The sequence below is a fragment of the Homo sapiens genome, chromosome 14 (assembly GCF_000001405.40).
Source record: "Homo sapiens chromosome 14, GRCh38.p14 Primary Assembly".
NCBI classification, from domain to species: Eukaryota; Metazoa; Chordata; class Mammalia; order Primates; family Hominidae; genus Homo; species Homo sapiens.
Window position 1 is genome coordinate 91,058,353 of NC_000014.9, and position 23,977 is coordinate 91,082,329.

Genomic DNA, 23,977 nt, shown 5'->3' on the forward strand with positions numbered 1-23,977 from the left:
AAATAAAGCAGTACTCATTGTTTTCTACAAAACTAGCATTGTTTGCAAAATCCAGAAACCAAGCAGTTGGTTAACTACTAATAACAAGCAGGTTGCTCCTTGGTCATTTAGCAAAAAGCTGCTTGTTGCACCACAGTCGATGGCTGAGAAGCATATGACTTCAAGTAGCTTTTGCTGTACAGTAGGATTCCATACATATAAATCAGTGGATCGTTATGTAAGACAAGAAAAAAATTCAAAATCTTCACACCAGAAAGCACCTGACACTGAGTGTGGCACAAATCCGAATAAATGTATACTGAGTAAACCATGTCAGGGTCTTTTGAAAATATCAGTTGTCTATGAAATTGAGAGAAGAAAAACCAAATCACCTGAATTCATACAGGTTATGTTAGGAACTCAAAAATATGGAACAGCTGGCTCAAGATGTATAACAGATTCACAATGACCAAAAAAACAATGTTTACAAATGTTGAATTAAGAAGCATGAATTTGACATCTCTCTTGAATTAAGTCACCACACTGGCACCCAATGGAATGCTTATAGGCAATCTCAGTAGAAATAACAAAAACTGAAAGAACTGACGGACAGAGCTAACTTTCCAATCTGTTCAAAACAGAAACAAGATGTACTAGTGGACACCTGAATCCTGCCGTTTAAGCTTTTGTGCCTTCACAATTAAATAATAACCCGGCCGGGCACGGTGGCTCACGCCTGTAATCCCAGCACTTTGGGAGGCCGAGGCGGGCGGATCACTTGAGGTCGGGAGTTCGCGACCAGCCTGACCAACGTGGAGAGGACCGCCCCCCCCACCCCGCCCCCACAAAAAATACAAAATTAGCCGGGCATGGTGGCGCATGCCTGTAATCCTAGCTACTCCGGAGGCTGAGGCAGGAGAATCGCTTGAACCCGGGAGGCGGAGGCTGCGGTGAGCCGAGATCATGCCACTGCACTCCAGCCTGAGCAACAAGAGCGAAACTCTGTCTGAAAAAAAAAAAAAAAAATCCCAATATGCCAAAGCAGCTCTGTCAAAAACCTTCAACGCTCACAAACATATCTAGTAATAACGAACGACTCATTAAAATGTACTATCTGTTCAGAGAAAAAAGTATTAATATATCTACAATACGAGACTGGGCTCCAAGAATATAAATCCAAATTGTACTGATTGGTCTGAATAAGCATTTTCCAAAATGAACAACCTGAACCTACACCACGAATACATTTAATTAGTTATAAAGCTTAGGACAACGCTAGTGATCTCAAACATTAGAACGTAAGCGCTGAAGCCTGCTCGTTAGTTCCTTTTACCTGGAGCTTTAAATTTCTAAAGCCATCATCTCCAGGGACCTCTGAAGGAAATTCAAGGCCAAGTATAGTATTTCATGATAAGTGAGAATAAAGGCACTCAATCCCTGGAGCCGGCGATTCCTGTTCCTGTCTCTAGACTGGACTCGGTAAAAGCCCGAGGCGAAACCTCCCGTTTATCTCCTACAGGACCCCAGCACCTTAGGGGATGGCTCCACAGAGCCCCACCGGGACCCCCCATCGCGGGGACCAGAGGGGCGGAGGAGGGAGACACTCTCCAAAACAAAGCGCCGCTCGCCCCACGCGGAGGCAGGCGCACCTTTCGCCCTGACAGGACGCAGACACACGTGTGTCACCTGTGCGGGAAGGGGGAGCAGCGACATCCTCGGAGGTGCGTGCCACGGGCAGCGGTCGGCGGCTGCGCTGGCCCCGATGCCTGGTGCCCGCCGCTCATTCCCGGGCTGGGGAAAACTTTCGGCCGCCTCCCCCAAGGCGCGCCCCCACCTCCCGGGACCCCCGGGGCACGCGCCCCGACCGCGACGCCCCGCCCCAGGCCCGCCCCTCCGCGCCCACGGCTGCGGCCCCGCGCCCCCAGCCCCGCGCGGGCACCCGCGTGCCCTCAGGCGCGCCCCCGCGCCGGGCCCGGCCGGCAGAGGGCGGGGTCGCTCACCAGTCCGCAGCTCGTGCTTGACAGTGAGGAGCTGCTCTCCTCCGTCGCCGCCGTCCGCGCTGGTCCCCGCGGCGCCGCCGCTGCTGCCACCCTCCTCCTCCATCTTCTCCTTTTTTTCCGATCCCGCGGGTCGCTACGAGGGGAACCCAGGAGACAGCGGACGCCCGTCCCCTCGCAGCCGCTGCCGCGGCCCCAGGAGTCGGGGTGCGGCGGCTCCAGAACTCGGACGCAAAGACGAGTCTCTTTCCCGCTCTGGCCGCACGGCTCGCTCCTCGCCTCCTCCCCCTTCGGCGGGCACCGCTAGTACCGCGCAACCAAACCGCCCCCTGCTCCACCGCCGCCTCCTCAGGCCGCTCCGCCCACAGCCAGCAAGGTAAGGGAGCCATTCGAGCCGCCTTCGCTGATTGGACACAGGGCGCGCGCGTCTGCCAACGCCGGTTCCCATTGGGCAGTACGCTGTGACGTTTCACGAGCCTCCCCGCCTCGCTCCTCGAATTGTTGTTGCTTGGCGGGGAGGCAGGAGAGGGAGGAGCGCCGCCACTCCGATTGGTGAGACCCAAAGCTCTGCCCCGCCCATTTCCTCTGGTGCGCACTCGCAGTCAAGACCTTCCCTTCCCTGACCTCCCCAGAACGGTCACACCCCTTATTCCCCAGCTTCGATCTGTTAGTAAACAGTGTCTAGTAGTCAGGAGGCGCTCGGGGTCTCTGATTGGCTACTGCCGAAAGAGGCGGGGAGGGATGATTGGAACGTTTGGTCCGCCAATCACCGTGGACAGAGGAGGGGCCTGGAGGGTAGCGCTTATCACCCACGTGTTTGCAGACAAACCTAAGGGTCCCGGCAGCGATCCATGCGTGTGTGACAACCAGCGAGACGGCGTGCCCTAAAAAGGTCTTACTCGCTCTAGTGAACCCTAAACAAGTTAAGCAGAGTGTTTGTTCTTAAATAACAGATAGTTCTTAAACGTTACAAAAATTCACAGTCCCAGCTCCCGATGAGGAATTTTACGAAGGAGAGACATTTCTGTTTCGTACAAGACTCTTACTAGGCGCCGAAAGGATGCAGAGATTAACAAAATAGAATACAATTCCTCCCCTAAGCAGCTTTCAATAGAACGTGAGAAACAATCTGTGTGTGTACACAAAAGAACTATAAAGCAGAATTTGAAATAAAGCAGTCGTACAAAGCGTTAGAGAATCTCGCACGGATGGCAATAATTATTCCCAGACGAGGAACTGGGGAAAGCTTTTAGGGCAAGGAGGCATTTGAGATAACCAACGTAAAGGATGGATAAGAGAGAAATACCAGCAATAGACATTCCACACAGAGAGAGTAACTGTGAGCATTGGCCTACAGCAGAGAAGGCAAGGGTGGGTTAAGTGATTGATAAGGTTAGATGAAAGTATGATGTAAGAGATACAGCTGACAAGGTGAGGTGTGGTAAGATAATGGGGAACTAGGGATGCTGTGCTGAAGAGTGCAGATTTTTTTTAGTACACAGTGATGAACTGAAAAGAGGAGAGAGATAGCAGGGCAGGAATCCTGCTGCAAGGATAGAACTAAAGGGAACCTGATTTCTAGTAGCAGACACGAGAATGGGAAAAAGCAGAAACTTAAAGATGTACAGTTGGACGTAATTCAGATAGATGTGATCTTTTAAACTAAGCATGGATTGGATCAGGAGTCAGCACACTTTTTTCTATTAAGGGCCAGATAGTAAATATTTTAGGATTTGCAAGCTGTATGACCTTTTTCACAACTACTCAGCTCTGCCATTGTAGCGCAAAAGCAGTCATAGACAATAAATAAAAGAAGTAGCTGTGTTCCAATAGAATATTTTTTATGGACATTGAAATTTGAATTTCACATAGTTTTCATGTATCGTAATATATTCTTCTTTTAATTATTTTTGAATCACTTAAAAATATAAAAACAGGTCAGGCGCAGTGGTTCACACCTGTAAGCCCAGCACTGTGGGAGGCTGAGGCAGATGGATCACCTGAGGTCAGGAGTTCAAGACCAGCCTGGCCAACATGGCAAAACCCTGAATCTACTAAAAATACAAAAAATTAGCCAGGCATGGTGGTGGGCGCCTGTAATCCCAGCTACTCAGGAAGCTGAGGCAGGAGAATTGCTTGAATCTGGCAGGCGGAGGTTGCAGTAAGCCGAGATCACACCATTGCACTTCAGCCTGGGCAACAGAGCGAGACTCTGTCTAAAAAAAAAAAAATATATATATATATATATATATATATATATATATATATATATATATATATATAAACAATCCTTAGCTCAAGGGCAGTTAAAAAACAGGCAATGAGCCAGATTTGGCCTACAGGCCATAGTTTGCAGACTCCTGGATTCGACTGCTGTGAAAGACAAAACACAGAAGCCTTGCAAGTTCCTTCAGGTTGCTTTCACAGCTCCCTGGGCTTACCTGCCTGGAACATTTATCATCACACTAAACCATGACTGCCTACTTACTTGTCTTTCTCCTGCAAAAGTCATGTGCTATTTGGAGCCAGGCAATGACTGTGTGCAACTGTTCATTTGTTCACTCGAAAACTTTTATACCAGTTATATACCAAGTACTGTAATAGGTGCTAGAGACACAGTGGGAGCAAAACAGATGCAGTCCTTGCTCCTATAGAGCCTACAGTCTAGCAACAGATATAAATATTAATCACATAAAGAAATATAAACTTTCCATTGTGATCATGCTGTAAAGGAAAATTACAGGGTGCTACAATAGAATGTATCAGGGATGCCTAATTTAAGTTGGAGGAGCTGGAAGACCTTTGTAAGTAAGTATTATTTAAGCTGAGACTTTAAAAATGAGTAGGTTTTAACCAGGATGTGGCAAAAAGTAGCCTGATGTTCACCAATCTCATTTCCTCTTCCTAGACACACAGGAAGACTTTTTTTTTTTTTTTCTTACCTCCTTTGCAGTTAGGTTAGGGTCATATGACTATGATCTGGCCAATGGGGTATGGGCAGATCCTATTGGTATGATATATAACATTTTCAGGCCTGACCAGAAAACTCCTTGCATAATCACTCACACTCTTCTCTTTCAACTGCTGTAACAAAGGCCACATTTTTAATGTGGGTATGCCACAGACTGGGAGGACTCTGAACCCCTGAGTTTCCACTTAATTCTTTAAGGAGCCACCTGACCTATGTCAGACTGTGATGTGAGCAATACATACACCGTTTTAGGCATAAGCTAGTTAGATGGGATTATTTGCTACCAAAGCATAATCTAGCCTTATACTACTTCATATGTGTAATATGGAGGGATCAAAATTTTAGGAAGATGTCCTGAGGCAGGCAAAGAGCCTATTCGGTTGAGAGATTGAGAAAGGCAGTGGAGCCTTAATGCAGTAAGCAAGGGATGAGGTTCAGGAGGTGGGCAGAGGCCCGGTCAGGAAGTATGTGGTTGCTCTTATTAATATTTTTGGACTTTATCCTGTGTGAAGTGGGAAGCAGTAGAAGGAATTTAAACACAGGAATGATATAATCGTGGTAGTATTTTCAGAAGGTCACTGAAGTTAGTGTTTGGAGACTGCGCTGGAGAAGGCAAAATGGGATACAAGGAGACCAGTTAGGAGGCTATCACTGTAATCTGGGCAAAAGATGAGAGTGGGTGCAGTAGAGATGGAGAGAAATGGAACATTTCTATGTTTATATTTTGAACTTGAAGGATTAGACTTGGTTAGTGAGAAAAATGGAAATATCTGAAATGACACCAGTGTTTCTAGCGTGAGCAGCTAGTGGCTGGAAGAGGATGGCAGTACCATTTAATAATGAAAGGGACAAATTAAAGGAAGAGCACATATGAGAGAGAACATCAAGAGTTTAATTTTGAGACATCCAGGGCCAAAATTAAGTAGCTATGTGGATATATGAGTCTAGAGCTCTGAAGAGAGGTCTAGCATAGGGATGTAAGCTTAGGAATCACTGGCACATAGATGACATTTGAGGCCAGAGGTACGAATGAGATTACCTAGGGAGAAGCCTGGGTGCGGTGGATCATGCCTGTAATCTCAGCACTTTGGGACGCTGAGATGGGCAGATCGCTTGAATTCAAGACCAGCCTGGTCAACAAGGTGAAACCCTATCTCTACTAAAAATACAAAAATTAGCTGGGCATGGTGGTGCATGCCTATAATCCAAGCTACTCGGGAGGCTGAGGCAGGAAAATCACTGGAACCCAGGAGGCAGAGGTTGCAGTGAGCTGAGATCGCATCACTGCACTCCAGCCTGGGTGACACAGTCAGACTCTGTCTCAAAAAAAAAAAAAAAAAAAAAGAAAAGAAAAGTTGGAATAAGAAGGTGGAGCTAGAGGTAGAAAAGGAAAACCTGGAGAGTTTTGTATCTTGGAAGCCAAAGTATTTCCAGAAGAAGGGAATGGTCAGCTGTATCAGATACCCTAAGATGTCATATAACATGAGGTCTAGAAAGATCCACTGAATTTGTCAACTTGGGTACCACTGATGACAATATCCAGAGCAGTTTTGGCAAGGCAAATGGAAGGTGAGGAAGTAGTAACCATGTGTGGGGACATATTTTTCTCCAAAGGAAAATAGAGAACAAAGATCCTAGCTGGAGGGATCCAGGGAGTTTTTCGGTTTTTTGGCTTTTAATCTTATTTTCAAATAATTTTAAAATTGCAGAAGAGTTGCAAAACTTAGTAAACTTAGTAAAGCAGAAGCACGCCATATGATCACTTAAATGTGCACACATGTAGGAAGAGTTTCTTCCACAGACTTAAGCACTGTGCTGAGTGATAGGAGGGAGGGGAGGGCATGGGTTAGGGATCTGAGGAGAGTGGAAACAGGTTGGAACAGCCACTATGAGAAATAGATCTATCCAGGCAGCTTGTATAAACGCTGATTAGCACAGGGCTCCAGTGGAGTTAGAAAGCCTGAATCAGGATAGTGAAGTGTCTTTCTCTAGCAACTTACATATCCCCTCTGGGTGGGAGATGAGCGGTTGGGCAACAACCTGGTTAAAGTGAATGACCCTGGGGCCTAAGCTGGGTGAGAAGGCAATGAAGCCAGGATAAGCTGCTAGCCTGGAAGAATAGGATGGAGTCCAAGGAGTTGGCGCTAGTATGGATGAGTTCTCAACCTTGGCTGAACATCGGGATCACCTGGGATACTGAAAAATAACAACAAAACAAAACAAAAATCTCCACCACTCCTACCCCTAAAGAATGTGACTTAAATTGGTCTGGGGTTGGGCCTGGACTTTGGGATTTTTTTTAAAGCTCCCCACATCATTAACCTAATGTACAACCAAGTTTGTAATGCACAACTCTTGCACAACTATTAGAGCAGACAGTGGTAAATAAGAGCAAATTGGAGTTTTGGAAAAAACAGCAACTTTTCAGAGGTAGTGATGACACTAGAGAAAATAGGAGGGAAAATTATAAATGAGTAGCTGAAAACACCAAATTAAATGGGTGCGGGGCTTGAGTGATTAGTGATGTGACCAGACAGCTTGGAGTCAAATGAGGAAAAGTTGTTGAACTGGGGTGAGATAATGGACTATGGCCTGGAGGATGCAGCAGCTGGAAGTGAGGAAAAAGTCACTGCTCCCTCCTGCCCTGAGAGATGGAGAAGTAGAGAGGGTGGGGTCCGTGAAAAGGCTGAGACAGAGAGGTTGTCCAGCAAAAGGTCAGATTTCTGCTATGGCCAGAAGAGTAATCAAGAAAAGACCTTGAAAATATGTTTCTTCCTCTCAGAAACTGACTTTATCCACTGGGCGTGGTGGCTCACGCCTGTAATCCCAGCACTTTGGGAGGCCAAGGCAGGAGGATCACCTGAGGTCAGGAGTTTGAGACCAGCCTGGCCAACATGGTGAAACCCTGTCTCTACTAAAAATAGAAAAATTAGCCGGGCCTGGTGGCACATGCCTGTAATCCCAGCCACCAGGGAGGCTGAGGCAGGAGAATCACTTGAACCCGGGAGGCAGAGGTTGCAGTGAGCTGAGATTGCGCCATTGCACTCCAGGCTGGGTACCAGAGTGAAACCCCATCTGAAAAAAAAAAGAAAAAAAAAAAAAAAAAGAAGGAAAGAAAAGAAACTGACTTTATCCAGGCTGGCTTGGTACCTGCTGCCAGAACGGGGTCCGTGCTCACCCCCTTTTGTTGTAAGCCTATGTCTGTGGCACCATTCTATGTGGTCTCACCTATCCTTAGCTTTATACCTCTTCACTGAGAAGCGGAGAGGATCACTTGAGCCCAGGAGTTCTTGAATCCAGCCCGGGCACATAGCATGACCCCATCTCTAAACCAAAGGAAAAAGAAAAACCACTATCACTTGCCATAAACAGGAAGCAGGAAGTAAATATTAAAATAAATACAATGAAAACAAAATGATAGTAAGTTCTAGCTAGATACAGTTGTCTGCTGGTAGCTGAGTCTGAGGTCTATACTTTCCTTGCTAGAAAGAGTTATTTCGGCCGGGCGCGGTGGCTCACGCCTGTAATCCCAGCACTCTGGGAGGCCGAGGCGGGTGGATCACGAGGTCAGGAGATCGAGACCATCCTGGCTAACACGGTGAAACCCCGTCTCTACTAAAAAAAAAAAAAAATTAGCCGTGCATGGTGGCGGGCGCCAGTAGTCCCAGCTACTTGGGAGGCTGAGACAGCAGAATGGTGTGAACCTGGGAGGTGGAGCTTGCAGTGAGCCCAGATTGCACCACTGCACTCCAGCCTGGGTGACAGAGCGAGACTCCATCTCAAAAAAAAAAAAAAAAAAAGAAAGAGTTATTTCATGTTGAGTAGATTGAGGAAGAACAAAAAAAAGAAGAGTGATTGGTAAAAATTAGAGAAAAGCTAAAGACTACTGGCACCAAACCCAGGCTTGCTTCTTGGTATAATCACAAATGAAAGGGAACCAAAAAAAAAAACACTTTTTCATTAGGAGAGATGAGAAGTTTAGGTGGTACATGGACAGTCATTTAGTTATATAAGTAAGCAAGGGGGGAGAGGGCCTCACTTGGCGTAAGCCACTAGGACTTGATTAATCTTACCATTTAGGCAATGTGAGCAGGAAGTTCCTCACCTTTGCATTTATAGGAAGTAGGAAACACCCAAGGCCCACCACATCATACTTTCCTTTAACTGGCTCTATCAAAACACTTCAAAGTATACATAGATAAGAAAGAAAATCTTTCAAAAAGTCAAAAACTACATTACCAATATCTTTTTTTTTTTCTTTTTTTTTGAGACAAGGCCTTACTCTGTTCCACAGACCAGAGTGTAATGGCACGATCTCGGCTCACTGCAACTTCTGCCTCCTGGGCTCAAACAATCCTCCTACCTCAGTCTCCCAAGTAGTTGGGACTACAGGCACATGCCACCACACCCAGCTAATTCTTGTATTTTTTTGTAGAGATGGGATTTCACCTTGTTGCCCAGGCTGGTCTCGAACTCCTGGGTCCAAGCAATCCACCCACCTCGGCCTCCCAAAATGCTGGGATTACAGGCCTGAGCCACTGCACCTGGCCCATTATCAATATCTTAATACTATTTTTGACCCTGTCAGTACCTTTGCCATGTGATATAGAGCCAGTAAGTTGAAGAGACTGCAAGATACAAAGACCAACACAGTTAGGGGGTGGTGTGAAGTTCACACTTACTGAAGACACCCACCACTGCTGAAGTTGACATGTCACCACAGTTACAAAGTGAGAAGGTTGGGAATGTACTGGCGCGTGCACACACACACACGCGCACGCACACACACACACACACACACACACACACACACACACCCCTTGCATTCACAGAGAGACAGTCTTGCGAAGGGGGCAGCAGCAAGTAAGCAGTGTCCTCACCTTACCTTTTGATGCACCAGATACTACCTTTCTAGCTTAGCAACCTTCCTAGCATTGCAGATGAGGAACACTAGGACGAAAGGGAAGATTCAAGTTTAAGATGTTCCACCTCCGTTTCAACCTGTGCCAACCAGCACACAGCTGTGAGAGATTTCAGAGGGATGCGCATCACATATATATCCAATTAAAAGATATAAAGATATTGGGGGCCGGGCACGGTGGCTCCCACCTGTAATCCCAACACTTTGGGAGGCTGAGGAGGGTGGATCACCTGAGGTTGGGAGTTTGAGATCAGCCTGACCAACATGGAGAAATCCCGTCTGTACTAAAAATACAAAATTAGCCAGGCGTGGTGGGGCATGCCTTGTGATCCCAGCTACTCAGGAGGCTGAGGCAGGAGAATCACTTGAACCCGGGAGGTGGAGGTTACAGTGAGCTGAGATCGTGCCATTGCACTCCAGCCTGGGCAACAAGAGCGAAACTCCACCTCAAAAAAAATAAAATAAAACAAAATAAAGATATTTGGACTCCCTCTCTCCTCCCTTGGAATCTTCTGGACGGAATACAAAAAGAAAGCAAAGCAAAAACATAGAAAAGGTCCCATTTTTAATGAAACAAGGAAACTCTCAGAACCTCAAACCACAAACCATGAGGTATGCCTGCCAAATACTGCAAAGTCTGTACTAAAATTGATGAAATGCTAAGAGTCAATGTACAGTGCCTACATCCATGAGCAGGCAATATGTTTCCTTAGAGGCACCAAATCATTGATCCTTGGATTGGAGGGGTGTTTCCCAAAGGGGAAAGGAGACTTGTGTTATTAGGGAAGAGTGAAGTAAGTTTAGGTGGTACATGAAGAGTCATTGAGTTATATTAAATAACCTAATGAAAAAGTGATTCTTTTTTTTAGTTCCCTTTCATTTGTGATTATATCAAGAAGAAAGCCTTGGTTTGGTGCCAGTAGTCTTTAACTTTTCTCTAATTTGTCCTAATCATTCTTTCTAACAAGGAAAATGCAGACCTCAGACTCAGCTCCCAGCAGACAACTGTATCTGGCTAGAACTTACTAAAGTTTTGTTTTCGTTGCACTTATTTATTGTTTATTTTCTATTTTGGGACGGAGTCTTGCTCTGTCACCCAGGCTGGAGTGCAGTGGCGTGATCTCAGCTCACTGCAACCTCCACCTTCCGGGTTCAAGCGATTCTCCTGCCTCAGCCTCCCAAGTAGCTGGGATTACAGGCGCCCACCACCATGCCCAGCTAAATTTTTTTTGTATTTTTAGTAGAGACAGGGTTTCACCATGTTGGCCAGGCTGGTCTCGAACTCCTGACCTCAGGTGATCCGCCCACCTCAGCCTCCCAAAGTGCTGGGATTACAGGCGTGAGCCACCGCACCCAGCCTCATTGCATTTATTTTAATATTTACTTTCTATTTATGGCAAGTGATACTTTCTTTACTTTTCCTTCTTTTTTTTTAAGAAATGTGCCCAGGCTGGGTTACAGAACACATGGGCTGAAGCCATCCTCCCACCTCAGCCTTCCAAGTAGCTGGAACTACAGCTATTGTGTAGTTCCATTGTGCCCAGCTTGATATTTTTCACTTATGATAATGATATGCCTCTTTTTTTTTTTTTTTTTGTCACCCAGGCTGGAGTGCAGTTGTGCAATCTTGGCTCACTGCAACCTCCCCCTCCAGGGTTCAAGTGATTCTCCTGCCTCAGCCTCCCAAGTAGCTGGGATTACAGGTGCCTGCCACCACACCCAGCTAATTTTTGAATATACCTCCTTTTTAAATAAGAAGGCATTTAGTTGAAAAAACTGGGAATTAATTTAAAGAAAAAAAATCGACTTTAGTATAGGTGATCTACAGATAAGGCAAAAATTGTGGAAGTGGTACTCAAATGACTGAAATTTATATTTGACTTACAAGACCCAGGAAAAACTGGTAGTGTTCCTTTGAAGAACCAGTATGATAGTAGGGAGGGTCAAAATTAGGGAGAAGCTGGAGGATGGTTATTTATTTCTATTTTTTGTGACCTGCCCTCCAAGCCAAAAGAGTCTCTTGGAGATGAGGGGGTGAAGGGGGTAGAGAAATAATTTCTAGATTAGAACCCAGAGAGCCTAGAGTGACAGGGCTTTGCTGGGGGCCTTGGCACCTCCTGAGAGCCAAAACCTGAGAATCTCAGAGACATTCTCTCATGGAGAGGAAATACTGTCAACAGATTTGGAAACACACTAAAGTGAAGCAGCCGATTGCCTCAAAGTCCTTCTTCTTCCTCTACCCATGCTATTTAACAAATAATTCTCCATCACATCAGAGAAATTACAAAGTTATCTCTTTTTAAAATAAAAAAAATACTCAAAGGTGAGGTTCAGAAGTAAAAGTAAGGAATTATAGAACAACAAAAGAGGAAAAAACTGAGTGGCAAATCTCAAGAAAAGAAAGACAGGAAAGCCACTTTGGAATCAACCAAAAGAGAATGAACAAGAGGGAAAACAATGGAACAATATGGAAAAGAACAAAGAAATAAACATAATCATAAACATTTGATAGTTATGGAAAATAAGCAATAGAGATCCAATAGATGCATAATTGGCATTCCTGAAGACCAAGTCAGAACAAATGAAACAATAGAATAATGGAGGAAACTTAACCAAAATGAAGACTTGAGTCAGCAGGTAGAAAGCACACACTGTGTCAAGGTAAAATGAGTACAGAGTGATCAATAACAAAGTACATCAGATTTTTAAAAACCAAGAGCAACACAATGTTAAAGGACAATGAAGCAAGGTTTATAAAACTTAAGGGCATGAAGCTGTGACTCATGAATTTTATATTTTGCCAAATTGTCCCTTAAGAAGTCTAAAGGCTGACCAGGTGTGGTGGCTCACACCTATAATCCCAGTACTTTGGGAGGCTGAGGCTGGCAGATCACAAGGTCAGGAGATAGAGACCATCCTGGCAAACACGGTGAAACCCCGTCTCTACTAAAAATACAAAAAAAAAAATTAGCAAGGTGTGGTGGCACGCGCCTGTATTCCCAGCTACTCAAGAGGCTGAGGCAGGAGAATGGTGTGAACTCAGGAGGCAGAGGTTGCAGTAAGCTGAGATTGCACCACTGCACTCCATCCTGGGCAACAGAGCGAGATTCCACCAAAAAAAAAAAAAAAAAAGAAGTCTAAAGGCTGTTGGCAGTCATTCTTGAGCATGAATTAACTCAAGAGTTTCCACATTCTTGAAAAAAAAGTTTTTTACGTTGAAATTATTCAACCAAGAGATTAATCAAAATAAAGAAATCAAGGAAGGAATTGAGGATTAAAAAAAATACTGAAGATGAGTTTTGAATTGTTTTAAATACAGAACCAAGAATAAATAGCTGTGGAATTTATGGTTAAAGAACAAAATGTAGGCTAGGCGTGGTGGCTCACGCCTATAATCCCAGCACTTTGGGAGGCCAAGGCGGGTGGATCACGAGGTCAGGAGTTTGAGACCAGCCTGGCCAATATGGTGAAACCCCGTCTCTACTGAAAACGCAAAAATTAGTTGGGCGTGGTGGTGGGTGCCTGTAGTCCCAGCTACTCAGGAGGCTGAGGCAGAAGAATCGCTTGAACCCAGGAGGCAGAGGTTGCAGTCAGCCAAGATCGCGCCACTGCACTCCAGCCTGGTAACAGAGTGAGACTCCATCTCAAAAAAAAAAAAAAGAACAAAATGTAAACATTCCAAACTCTTATACTGTGAACATAATTATACACCTAACAAAAATGGGGAAGTGAGGGGAAAGGGCAGTTGGAAGATTTCTAAGCATGTAAATTTACTCATCTTTAATGGCTGGAAAATAATCCAGTCTAAAAAATGAACTCCAGCCAGGCGTTGGGGCTCATGCCTACAATCCCAGCACTTTAGGAGGCCCAGGCAGGAGGATCGCTTGAGCCCACGAGTTCAAGATCAGCCTGGGCAACCTGGGGAAACCCCTTATCTACTAAAAATACAAAAAACTAACCAGGCATAGTGGCATGCACCTGTAATCCCAGCTACTCGGGAGGCTGAGGCACGAGAATCTCTTGAATGTGGGAGTTGGAGGTTGCAGTGAGCTGAGATCACACCACTGCACTCCAGCGTGAGCAACAGAATGAGACTCTGTCTCAAAAAAAAAAAAAAGAACTCCATGAACTGCAGCTTTTTAAAACAGACACGATTCTAATTTCTTGATGATTTTTGTGTTCGTTTTTTCTTATCTTTAAGGGGATTATTTTAGGAATTTTTGTGGTTTACAAACATTTAGCTGAAGTTCAGCAATTATTTCTATTTTACTTAATTTCTGTTTTCTGTAAAATTAAACTTAATTTTACTTAAAAATAATTTGCAGAATAAAATTCCATTGTTATCTATTGATCTTTTTGCTCTGCATGCCCAAATTCAGATGACATATACCAAATATTGATGGCTGTTTCCAGAAAGTGAGATTTGAGACACCAAAAAAAAAAACAAAAAACAAAACTTCCTCATGGTGCTTTCTAAAGCTTTTTAGAAAAGCTCATTCTATATAAAACTAACAGTCATTGCCAGGTGCGGTGGCTCATGCCTGTAATCCCAGCACTTTGGGAGGCCGAGGCGGGCAGATCACGAGGTCAGGAGATCAAGACCATGGTGAAACCCTGTCTCTACTAAAAATACAAAAAATTAGCTGGGCACGGTGGCGGGCGCCTGTCGTCCCAGCTACTCGGGAGGCTGAGGCATGAGAATGGCATGAACCCGGCAGGCAGAGCTTGCAGTGAGCCAAGATCATGCCACTGCACTCCAGCCTGGGTGACAGCAAAAAAAATAAAAAACATAAAATAAAAATAACAGTCATTTTTCTTGAGTAGTGTGGAATAGAAGGATAAGATGGAAGATGGCTCCCATGCCTTTTGTCACCAGGTGTTACACCCATGATTATGTGATTTATGTGGTGAAAAGGATTTTGCAGATGTCATAAAAGTTAATTACAGGCCAGGTGCAGTGGTTCATGCCTAGCACTTTGAGAGGCTGAGGCGGATGGATTGCCTGAGCTCAGGAGTTCGAGACCAGCCTGGGCAACATGGATAAACCCCATCTCTACTAAAAGTTCAAAAATTAGCCAGGTGTGATGGCACACGCCTGTAGTCCCAGCTACTCAGGAGGATGAGGCACGAGAATTGCTTAAACCTGGGAGGCAGAGGTTGGAGTGAGCCAAGATCGTGCCACTATACTCCAGCCTGGGCGACAGAGTGAGATTCCATCTCAAAAAAATTTTTTAAAAATTAACTCTGTCATCCAGGCTAATGTTTGTGTTTTTAGTAGAGATTTTTGTATTTTTAGTAGAGACAGGGTTTTGCCATATTGGCCAGGCTGGCCTCAAACTCCTGACCTCAAGTGATCCATCCCCGTCGGGATTACAGGTGTGAGCCACCGCTCCTGGCTGCATGAAAAATCTTTAATGCAAAAGGGTTATCTGGTTGCTGGCTTTGAAAATGGAGGGGACCAAGTGGAAAGGCCCTGAGGAGCAGCCTCTAGGAGTTAAGAGCCGCTCCCTTGCCAACAACCAACAAGGAAACAAGGACCTCAGCCCTACACCTTCAAGAACCTGCAAGGCAGAAGGATCACTTGAACCCAGGAGTTCGAGGCTGCAGTGAGCTATGACCGTCTTACTGCATAAGATAAATTGAAGATAAATGAAGTTAGCAAGGCCAAGGTGGGAGAATCGTGTGAGGCCAGGAGTTTAAGACCAGCCCGGGCAATATAGCAAACCCCCATCTCTACAAAAAAATTTAAAAATTGCCTGGCACGGTGGCTCACACCTATAATCCCAGCACCTTGGGAAGTAGAGGTGGGCAGATTGCTTGATCCCAGGAGTTTGAGACCAGGCTGGGCAACATAATGAGACCTCATCTCTACCAAAAAAAAAAAATATATATATATATACACACACACACACACACACACACACACACACACACACACACAGTCAAGCACCTGTATTCCCAGCTACTTGGGAGGCTGAGGTGGGAAGATCACATGAGCCTAGGAGGCCAAGTCTGCAGTGAGCTGTGATTGTGCCATGCACTCCAGCCTGGGCAACTGAGCGATACCCTGTCTCAAAAAAAAAAAAAAAAAAATATATATATATATATATAAACCGAGTGTGATGGCATGTACCTATAGTCCTAGCTACTTAGAAGGCTGAGGTGGGAGGATCACTTGAACCCAGGAGTTCGAGGCTGCAGTGAGCTATGATGTGGTCTCATTGGACTCTAGCCTGGGTGACAGAGTGAGAACCTGACTCAAAAAAACAAAAAAAGAATGAAGGTAACAGCATCTTTGTTCTTCAGACAGATTCTCTCTGACATCTACCTCCCAATTTCTGCCCCATATAATTTTATGGCTAAAAAACATTTACCTTCTATTCTTAACCATAATTAAGTATTCCACAGACTGACCGTAAAACATGAAAATCACTTAAACAGCATTTATTAGGTTGGTGCAAAAGTAATTGTCATTTTTGCCATTGAAAGTAATGGCAAAAACCATATTGCAGTATTCTCTAATATTATTTTCTCTGAAGAGGCAAAATGTTTATAAGAATTGCTCTTCTTGGCTGGACATGGTGGCTCATGCCTGTAATCCCAGCACTTTGGGAGGCTGAGGCTGGCAGATCACCTGAGTTCAGGAGTTCAAGACCAGCCTGACCAACATGGAGAAACCCCATCTCTACTAAAAATACAAAATTAGCCGGGTGTGGTGGCGCATGCCTGTAATCCCAGCTATTCAGGAGGCTGAGGCAGGAGAATTGCTTGAACCCAGGAGGTGGAAGTTGCAGTGAGCCAAGATCGTGCCATTGCACTCCAGCGTGGGCAACAAGAGAGAAACTCCGTCTCAAAAAAAAAAAAAAAAGAAGAATTGCTCTTCTTTTTATCGTACAAACTTCTTTCCCCTTGGATCTTCTATTTGCCTTTCTTGCATTTTTTCTTTATCATGGTTCATTTTACCCTAGTTTCTTTATCCAATTAGGTATTTTGCTGAGTTTTTAAGGCCTCCTCTCTGAGGCTCATCATCCTCCTCCTACAGGGTTGTCACAGTAGCATTTACTTTCATGGCTTTCCAGGGCCAATTGTCTTTTGTATTTAGGGTAGAGACAAGGTTACACCATGTTGGCCAGGCTGGTCTCGAACCCCTGGCCTCAAGTGATCTCCCCACCTCAGCCTCCCAAAGTGCTGGGATGGCAGGCATGAGCCACCGCACCCTACCTAGAGTCATGTTTTTAATTAATAAGAGCCCTTGTTTGTCCTTTGTTGGGCATCCTATCTTTCTGAATATATTGTATTGGAGCTTTTTAGTTTGCTTTGATTTGGGTTCTCTTCCTCAAAATAAGTGCGTCCTCCAGGGTTGTTGTTTTATTTTCCTGCTTGCTTTAGTCTTTCTAACTGGCTGACTGTGGGAAAGGACAAGAGGAAATGGAGTAAGGGCTGCTCCTTCCTCTTGACCAAATGCGTCTTATAATACCTGAAGTCAATGTTTGCTACCACCAAAGAAGCAATCAGCACTAGCCCGGGTGGTTCATTTCCTTATTTATTCAGCATCTTTACTGGACCCTTTCTGTGTGCCAGTGCTACAGAGGTTATAAAGATGGATAACAGGCCGGGAGCAATGGCTCATGCCTGTAATCCCAACACTTTGGGAGGCCCAGGTGGGCAGATCACCTGAGGTTGGGAGTTCGAGACCAGCCAGGCCAACATGGTGAAACCCCATCTCTACTACAAATACAAAAATTAGCTGGGCGTGGTGGTGGGTGCCTGTAATCCCAGCTACTTGGGAGACTGAGGCAAGAGAATTGCTTGAACCTGGGAGGTGGAGGCTGCAGTGAGCCAAGATTGTGCCACTGCACTCCAGCCTGGGTGACAGAGTGAGACTCTGTCTCAAAAAAAAAAAAAAAGATGGAAAACAGTGCCTGCCCTTAAGAAGCTCATAGCTAGGTAAGAGAAGACAGACATAGAAACAAGTACAGTCTCCCTCAGTATCTGTGGGGGATTAATTCCAGGATCCCCAAGGATACTAATATCCATGGATACTCAAGTTCGTAGCATCTGTAGATGCTCATTTTACTCTATGTATGAAATATAATATTTGCATGTAACCTGTGCACATCCTCTCATGTACTTTATAATCTCTAGGCTACTTATAATACCTAATACAGTGTAAATGCTAGGTAAGCAGTTGTTACACTGTATGGGTTTTTTATTTGTATTTTTTATTGTTTTTTTCTTCCTGAATCTTTTCCATCCAAGGTTGTCTGCAGATGTAGAGTCTGCAGATGTAGAAGCCATAGATAGGAAGGGCCACTGTGTGTGCAATAGTGTCTTGAGTGTTCCAATAGGAACCTGTTTAGGACCCGGTGGAGGTGGAAAAGGGCAAGTGCTCAAAGCTACTGGGAAGGATCTGGGAAACTCCACAGGGATGGTGATACTTGGGTCAGGATTGAAAGATGAGTGGGCATGGGTGAGGGATGGAGTAGGAATCCAGGATTCTAGGCAGAGGGGGCAGTGAGAGCAAAAACAAAAAAGCAAGACACCGTCCCAGGAGTGCTGGGGACTGCAAATTCCCAGAACCCCAGAGCAATGAGGCTGCATGAGGGAGGGAGTTACGGGCTAGACCACGGTGTCCTGTGTTCCGGGTCACAGTGCCAGCACGACTCCACAGGAATGGGAAGTACTAACAGCCTGGACACAGGGCAGTGCCATGATCAGATTTTTGTTTCAGAAAGTTCCAGTAGGCTGGCACAGTTGCTCATGCTTGTAATCCCAGGCCTCTGGGAGGCCAAGGTGGAAGGATCACTTGAGCCCAGGAGTAAGATCAACCTGAGCAACATCGTGAGAGCCTGTCTCTACAAAAAATGAATAAAATTAGCCAGGTGTGGTGGTGTGTGTGCCTGTGGTCCCAGCTATTCAGGAGGCTGAGGTGTGAGGATCACTTGAGCCAAGGAGGTGAAGGTCGCAGTGAGCCGTGATCGTGCCACTGCAGTCTGGGTGTCAGAGCAAGGCAAGCAAGCAAGCAAAGAGTGGGGAGAGAGAGAAAGAGAGAGAGAGAGAGAGAAACAAAGAGGAAAGAAGAAAGCGAGGGAGGAAGGAAGGAGAGAGAGAGGCAGAGAAAAAAAGAAAGGGAGAAGGAAGGGAGGGAGGAAGGAAGGAAAGGAAGGAAGGAAGGAGAGAAAGAAAAGAAAGAAAGAAGGAGGGAGGGAGGAAGGAAGGAAGAGAGAGAGAACAAAGAAAAAACAAAAAGAGGCTGGGCACGGTGGCTCACACCTGTAATCCCAGCACTTTGGGAGGTCGAGGTGGGAGGATCACAAGGTCAATAGATCGAGACCATCCTGGCCAACATGGTGAAACCCCGTCTCTATTAAAAATACAAAAATTAGCTGGGTATAGTGGCATGCGCCTGTAGTCCCAGCTACTCAGGAGGCTGAGGCAGGCGAATCGCTTGAACCCGGGAGGCGGAGGTTGCAGTGAGCCAAGATCTTGCCGCTGCTCTCCAGCCTGGTGACAGAGCGAGACTCTGTCTCAAAAAAAAAAAAAGAGAGAGAGAAAGAGAGGAAGGGAAGGAGGAAGGAAAGAAGAAAGGAGAGAGAGAAAGAAAGAGAAAGAGGAAAGGAAGAAAGAGAGGAATGAAGGAAGAAAGGAAGGAAGGGAAGGAAGGAAGGAAGGAAGTTAGTTCCAATCATATTAACTAACTGAAATAATTTTCTTTTCATAGCAAACTATCCCCACAAACAGACTCTGCTTGTAGTGTCTTTCTGGTGCAGTAAACATTAACAGGCCTTAAAATACTAAGCTATTTTGTTTTTATTGTTATTATTATTTTTGAGACAGCTGCTCTGTCGCCCAGGCTGGAGTACAGGGACTCAATCTCAGCTCACTGCAACCTCCGCCTCCAGGGTTCAAGTGATTCTCCTGCCTCAGCCTCCCGAGTAGCTGGAATTACAGATGCCCACCACCACGCCTGGCTCCTTTTTGTATTTTTAGTAGAGACGGGGTTTCGCCATGTTGGCCAGGCTGATCTTGAACTGTTTCCATTATTTTTAAAAGGCAGTATGAATCAGTGTTAATAAAAGCTACTTTGAATGGTATGCTAATGAGCAATTAGATTGAGTTTCCCTGAAAAACTGGATTTAATAACCTTGGCCTACATTTACTTTCAAGGAACTTGGTTGTCTGCTTTGATCCTGAAAATGAAAACTTGTGGTTTTAGAAGCTACTATTTGATGGGGAGGTTGCAGTGAGGAAGAATTTTCCCCTGCAGCGGGTCTCCTTTGAGTTCTTTCCTCCCTCCATCCCCCCACGCCTTCATTCACTGTCTTTCTGTGAACCAGCATGTGCCTCATTTTGAAAACACTAGCGTGACCTCAACAACTAAGATTAAAGTAGCAGTTGTTAGAAAATAGCGTAGTCTTGTACCCTAGAGGATGTGGTAGCCCTAAATAAGCAAGAACTGTGCCACATTGAAGTTTTGGGGTTTTGGTTTTTGGTCTTCAAAGTAATTCATTTTCTCTGAAGAAAGCTGGAGAGTCAGGAAACTAAGAAAGAAATGGAGCAAAATGATCTTTAACTGTCCAGGGACAACCTCTGGTAATACTGTGGAATATTTTCTTCCAATATTTCTATTTTGTGTCTGTTTATTTATTTTTAATTTTTATTTATTTATTTATTTATTTATTTATTTATTTATTTATTTTTGAGACAGAATCTCACTCGGTCACCCAGGCTGGAATGCAGTGGCATGATCTCAGCTCACTGCAACCTCCACCTCCAGGATTCAAGCGATTCTCCTGCCTCAGCCTCCCGAGTAGCTGGAACTACAGGCACCCGCCACCATGCCTGGCTCATTTTTGTATTTTTAGTAGAGACGGTGTTTCACCATATTGGCCAGGCTGGTCTCAAACTCCTGACCTCAAGTGATCTGCCCGCCTTGGTCTCCCAAAGTGCAGGGATTACAGGCACAAGCCACCACGCCCAGCCTTATTTTGTGTTTTTTCAAAAATTTTTAACACTTGGGAATCATTCTGAGCGCAATATTATACGCTGCCCTTTTTGGCTTAACATGATATTATCAGAATTTCCCTACATCAGTAAAATGTCTTCATAAACATTGTTTCTTTCTTTTCTTTTCTTTTCTTTTTTTTTTTTTTAAGGCAGAGTCTTGCTCTGTCGCCAGGCTGGAGTGCCGTGGTGCAGTCTCGCTCACTGCAACCTCCGCCTCCCAGGTTCAAGCAATTCTCCTGCCTCAGCCTCCCAAGTAGCTGGGACTACAGGTGCCTGCCACCCCACCCGGCTAGTTTTTGTATTTTTAGTAGAGACGGGGTTTCGCCATATGGGCCGGGCTGGTCACAAACATAAACATGATTTCTAATGACTGCCTGATAGTCCATAATTTGGATTACACTAATTTCCTAACAAATCACCTACTAACAAACTTTTAAGTTCTTTAGAATATTTTATGATTATAAACAACACTGTGATGAAGAGCTTTATGCAGAAAATAATTGCTCACATATCAAATTGTTGTACTAGAAAAGATTCAGAAAAAAAGGTTTGAATGCTTTTATGGCTGTTAAAAAATTATGGTAAATATATATAACATGATATATATCATTTTAGCCATTTGTAAATGTACTATTCAGTAGCATTAAATGCATTTAAAATGTTGTATCACCATCACCCTATCTACACCCAAAACATTCTGTCATCCTCCGGACCCATTAAACAATAATACCCCCATTTTTCCCTTCCCCCAGGTAACCTGTATTCCACTTTCTGTCCTTATGAGTTTGCCTATTATAGGGACTTCATAGAAGTGGAATCATACAATATTCTTCCTTCTGTGTCTGGCTTATTTCACTTAGCATCATGTTTTCAAGATTCATCCATGTTGTAGCATATATCAAATTTTCATTCCTTTTTATGGCTTGTGTATATATACCATACATTCTGCTTGTCTATTCATCTGTGGATGGACATTGCGATTGTTTCTACCTTTTGACTGTTGTGAATAATGTTGTGATAAACACTGGTGTACAAGTATCTGTTTGAGTCTCTGCTTTCAATTCTTGTGGGTATACACCTAGAAGTAGGACTGCCGAATCATACAGTAAGTCTGTGTTTAACTTTTTGCGGAAACTGACACTATTTATTTTTTCTTTTTTTTGAGACGGAGTCTCGCACTGTTGCCAGGCTGGAGTGAAATGGCACGATCTCAGCTCACTGCAACTTCCACCTCCCAGGTTCAAGCGATTCTCCTGCCTCAGCCTCTTGAGTAGCTGGGATTACAGGTGCCCGCCACCACGCCCAGCCAATTTTTGTATTTTTAGGAGAGACGGGGTTTCACCATGTTGGTCAGGCTGTTCTCGAACTCCTGATCTTGGGATCTGCCCACCTTGGCTTCCCAAAGTGCTGGGATTACAGGCATGAGCCACCACACGCAGCCCCAGAACATGTAATTTTTAATGGTTTCCCATTTTAACCAACCATCCCAAACTCATCATATAAGAGAGCTTCAACTATCTATATGAAACCAGGGGAAAAGTGGAGTCCTAGTAAGAGTGCTTTACACTTTAGGAAAATCTTCAACAAATATGAGTGCCTTTTGTGTGCATTGTGCAACATCCAGTCCTTTGAGAAAAAGCAAGGAAGTCTAGAAAAAGAGCTCCTCTTCATTCATTTATTCAAAAGCATGTATTGGCCGGGCACGGTGGCTCACACCTGTAATCCCAGCACTTTGGGAGGCCGAGGCCGGTGGTCACCTGAGGTCAGGAGTTCGAGACCACCTGGCCAACGTGACGAAACCCTGTCTCTACTAAAAATACAAAAAATTAGCTGGGCATGGCGGCATGCGCCTGTAGTCCCAGCTGCTGGGGAGGCTGAGGCAGGAGAATGGTGTGAACCCGGGAGGCGGAGCTTGCAGTGAGCCAAGATCGCGCCACTGCACTCCAGCCTGGGCGACAGAGTGAGACTCCGTCTCAAAAAAAAAACAAAAAAAAAAGCATGTATTAAGAGAATAATAATGAGTAAGCCCTATCTGTGTTCTACACAAACAAGTACAAGTGCCATGTTAACTAAGCTGAGAGAAATGTTCAAGAAAAAACAGGAGGCACATCCCACAGCAATACGGTACTAAATTTCAAATGACTTCATCATAAGTAATAGGGATTCATAGACGGGAACAAACCTTGAGGGCCATAGGCCAGGGCCAGCATGACCTTTCCAAAGGGTGATATTTTAGCAGGTATATTAGTTTCCTACTGCTGTTGCAAATAAATTACTACAAGTGGCTTAAGACATCTTATAGTTCTGGAAGTCAGAAGTCCAAAATGGGTCTTATGGGCTAAGATCGAGGCATCGGTAGGGCTGTGTTCCTATTTGGAAGCTCTAGGGGAGACTGCTTCCTTGCCCTTTTCATATTCCAAAGGCTGTCTGCACTCCTTGCCTTGTGGCTCCTTTCTCTATCTTCAAAGGCCATCTCTCCAGCCTCTGTTTCTTTATTTTTATTTTATTTTATTTATTTATTATTATTTTTCTCAGACAGAGTCTCACTCCGTCACCCAGGCTGGAGTGCAGTGGCACCATCTCAGCCCATGCAACCTCCACCTCCCATGTTCAAGCGATTCTCCTGCCTTGGCCTCCCGAGTAGCTGGGATCACAGGTGCGTGCCACCACTCCTGGCCTCTCCAGCCTCTGTTTCTGTTGTCACATCTCCTCTCTCCTCTTTGACCCTCCTGTCGTCCCACTCATAAGGACCTTCATGATTACATTGGGCCCACCCAGAAAATCGAAGATAATAAAGCCACCTCAAGGTCCTCAATTTCATCACGTAAAGTAACATATTCACAGGCTCTGGGGATTAGGATGTGGACATCTTTTGGAGTTGGAGATTGGGGGCATATTATTCAGCCTGCTATAGCTGGGTAACATTTGGAAAAGCAAAGAAAAAGGAAATTGTGATAGAGCATGTAGAGGGTATTTGTCAGTTTGACTGCATGCAACACCCTTTCTTATTTGGGAGGAATTCCAAGATAAAAAGTGAGCCACACTCCCCCCTTCCCATGAAAGAGGTACCTGACCCAAGTGTAGCCAGTATGATGTTCTGAC

General features: G+C 44.8%; 2 protein-coding genes across 17 annotated transcripts in view, besides 7 other annotated features; one reads left to right on the plus strand and one right to left on the minus strand.

Moving 5' to 3' along the window:
• Window positions 1-2,289, minus strand: part of RPS6KA5 (ribosomal protein S6 kinase A5) — a 212,781-nt gene extending 210,492 nt beyond the window's left edge. For 12 of the 14 annotated variants that reach the window (NM_001322232.2, NM_001322228.2, NM_001322236.2 and 9 more), the window contains exon 1: window positions 1,980-2,289. In NM_001322232.2, the coding sequence (NP_001309161.1) occupies window positions 1,980-2,082 (103 nt within the window). In that variant the 5' untranslated portion in view covers window positions 2,083-2,289. Of the gene's footprint in view, window positions 1-1,665; window positions 1,773-1,979 lie in introns of those variants that run through there. The other 2 variants (NM_001322238.2, NM_001322237.2) reach the window with 1 other exon arrangement.
• Window positions 1,742-1,811: a silencer, noted in NCBI's record as "silent region_6015". NCBI's record gives its function as "represses an Ori minimal core promoter by ATAC-STARR-seq in GM12878 lymphoblastoid cells {active_cell/tissue: GM12878}" and the evidence as "EXISTENCE:reporter gene assay evidence [ECO:0000049][PMID:35858748]".
• Window positions 1,882-2,011: a silencer, noted in NCBI's record as "silent region_6016". NCBI's record gives its function as "represses an Ori minimal core promoter by ATAC-STARR-seq in GM12878 lymphoblastoid cells {active_cell/tissue: GM12878}" and the evidence as "EXISTENCE:reporter gene assay evidence [ECO:0000049][PMID:35858748]".
• DGLUCY (D-glutamate cyclase) overlaps window positions 1,981-23,977 on the plus strand; it is a 165,300-nt gene continuing 143,303 nt past the window's right edge. For 2 of the 3 annotated variants that reach the window (NM_001358310.2, NM_001358311.2), the window contains exon 1: window positions 1,981-2,352. The gene's annotated coding sequence lies outside the window, so the exon portion shown is untranslated. Of the gene's footprint in view, window positions 2,529-23,977 lie in introns of all 3 variants that reach the window. The other variant, NM_001358312.2, reaches the window with a different exon arrangement.
• Window positions 2,019-2,599: an enhancer, noted in NCBI's record as "H3K27ac hESC enhancer chr14:91526715-91527295 (GRCh37/hg19 assembly coordinates)". NCBI's record gives its function as "activates a minimal SCP1, AML or CMV promoter by ChIP-STARR-seq in primed H9 embryonic stem cells {active_cell/tissue: H9 hESC(primed)}" and the evidence as "EXISTENCE:reporter gene assay evidence [ECO:0000049][PMID:30033119]".
• Window positions 2,382-2,441: a silencer, noted in NCBI's record as "silent region_6017". NCBI's record gives its function as "represses an Ori minimal core promoter by ATAC-STARR-seq in GM12878 lymphoblastoid cells {active_cell/tissue: GM12878}" and the evidence as "EXISTENCE:reporter gene assay evidence [ECO:0000049][PMID:35858748]".
• Window positions 2,662-2,791: a silencer, noted in NCBI's record as "silent region_6018". NCBI's record gives its function as "represses an Ori minimal core promoter by ATAC-STARR-seq in GM12878 lymphoblastoid cells {active_cell/tissue: GM12878}" and the evidence as "EXISTENCE:reporter gene assay evidence [ECO:0000049][PMID:35858748]".
• Window positions 5,014-5,163: an enhancer, noted in NCBI's record as "active region_8890". NCBI's record gives its function as "activates an Ori minimal core promoter by ATAC-STARR-seq in GM12878 lymphoblastoid cells {active_cell/tissue: GM12878}" and the evidence as "EXISTENCE:reporter gene assay evidence [ECO:0000049][PMID:35858748]".
• Window positions 20,135-20,324: an enhancer, noted in NCBI's record as "active region_8891". NCBI's record gives its function as "activates an Ori minimal core promoter by ATAC-STARR-seq in GM12878 lymphoblastoid cells {active_cell/tissue: GM12878}" and the evidence as "EXISTENCE:reporter gene assay evidence [ECO:0000049][PMID:35858748]".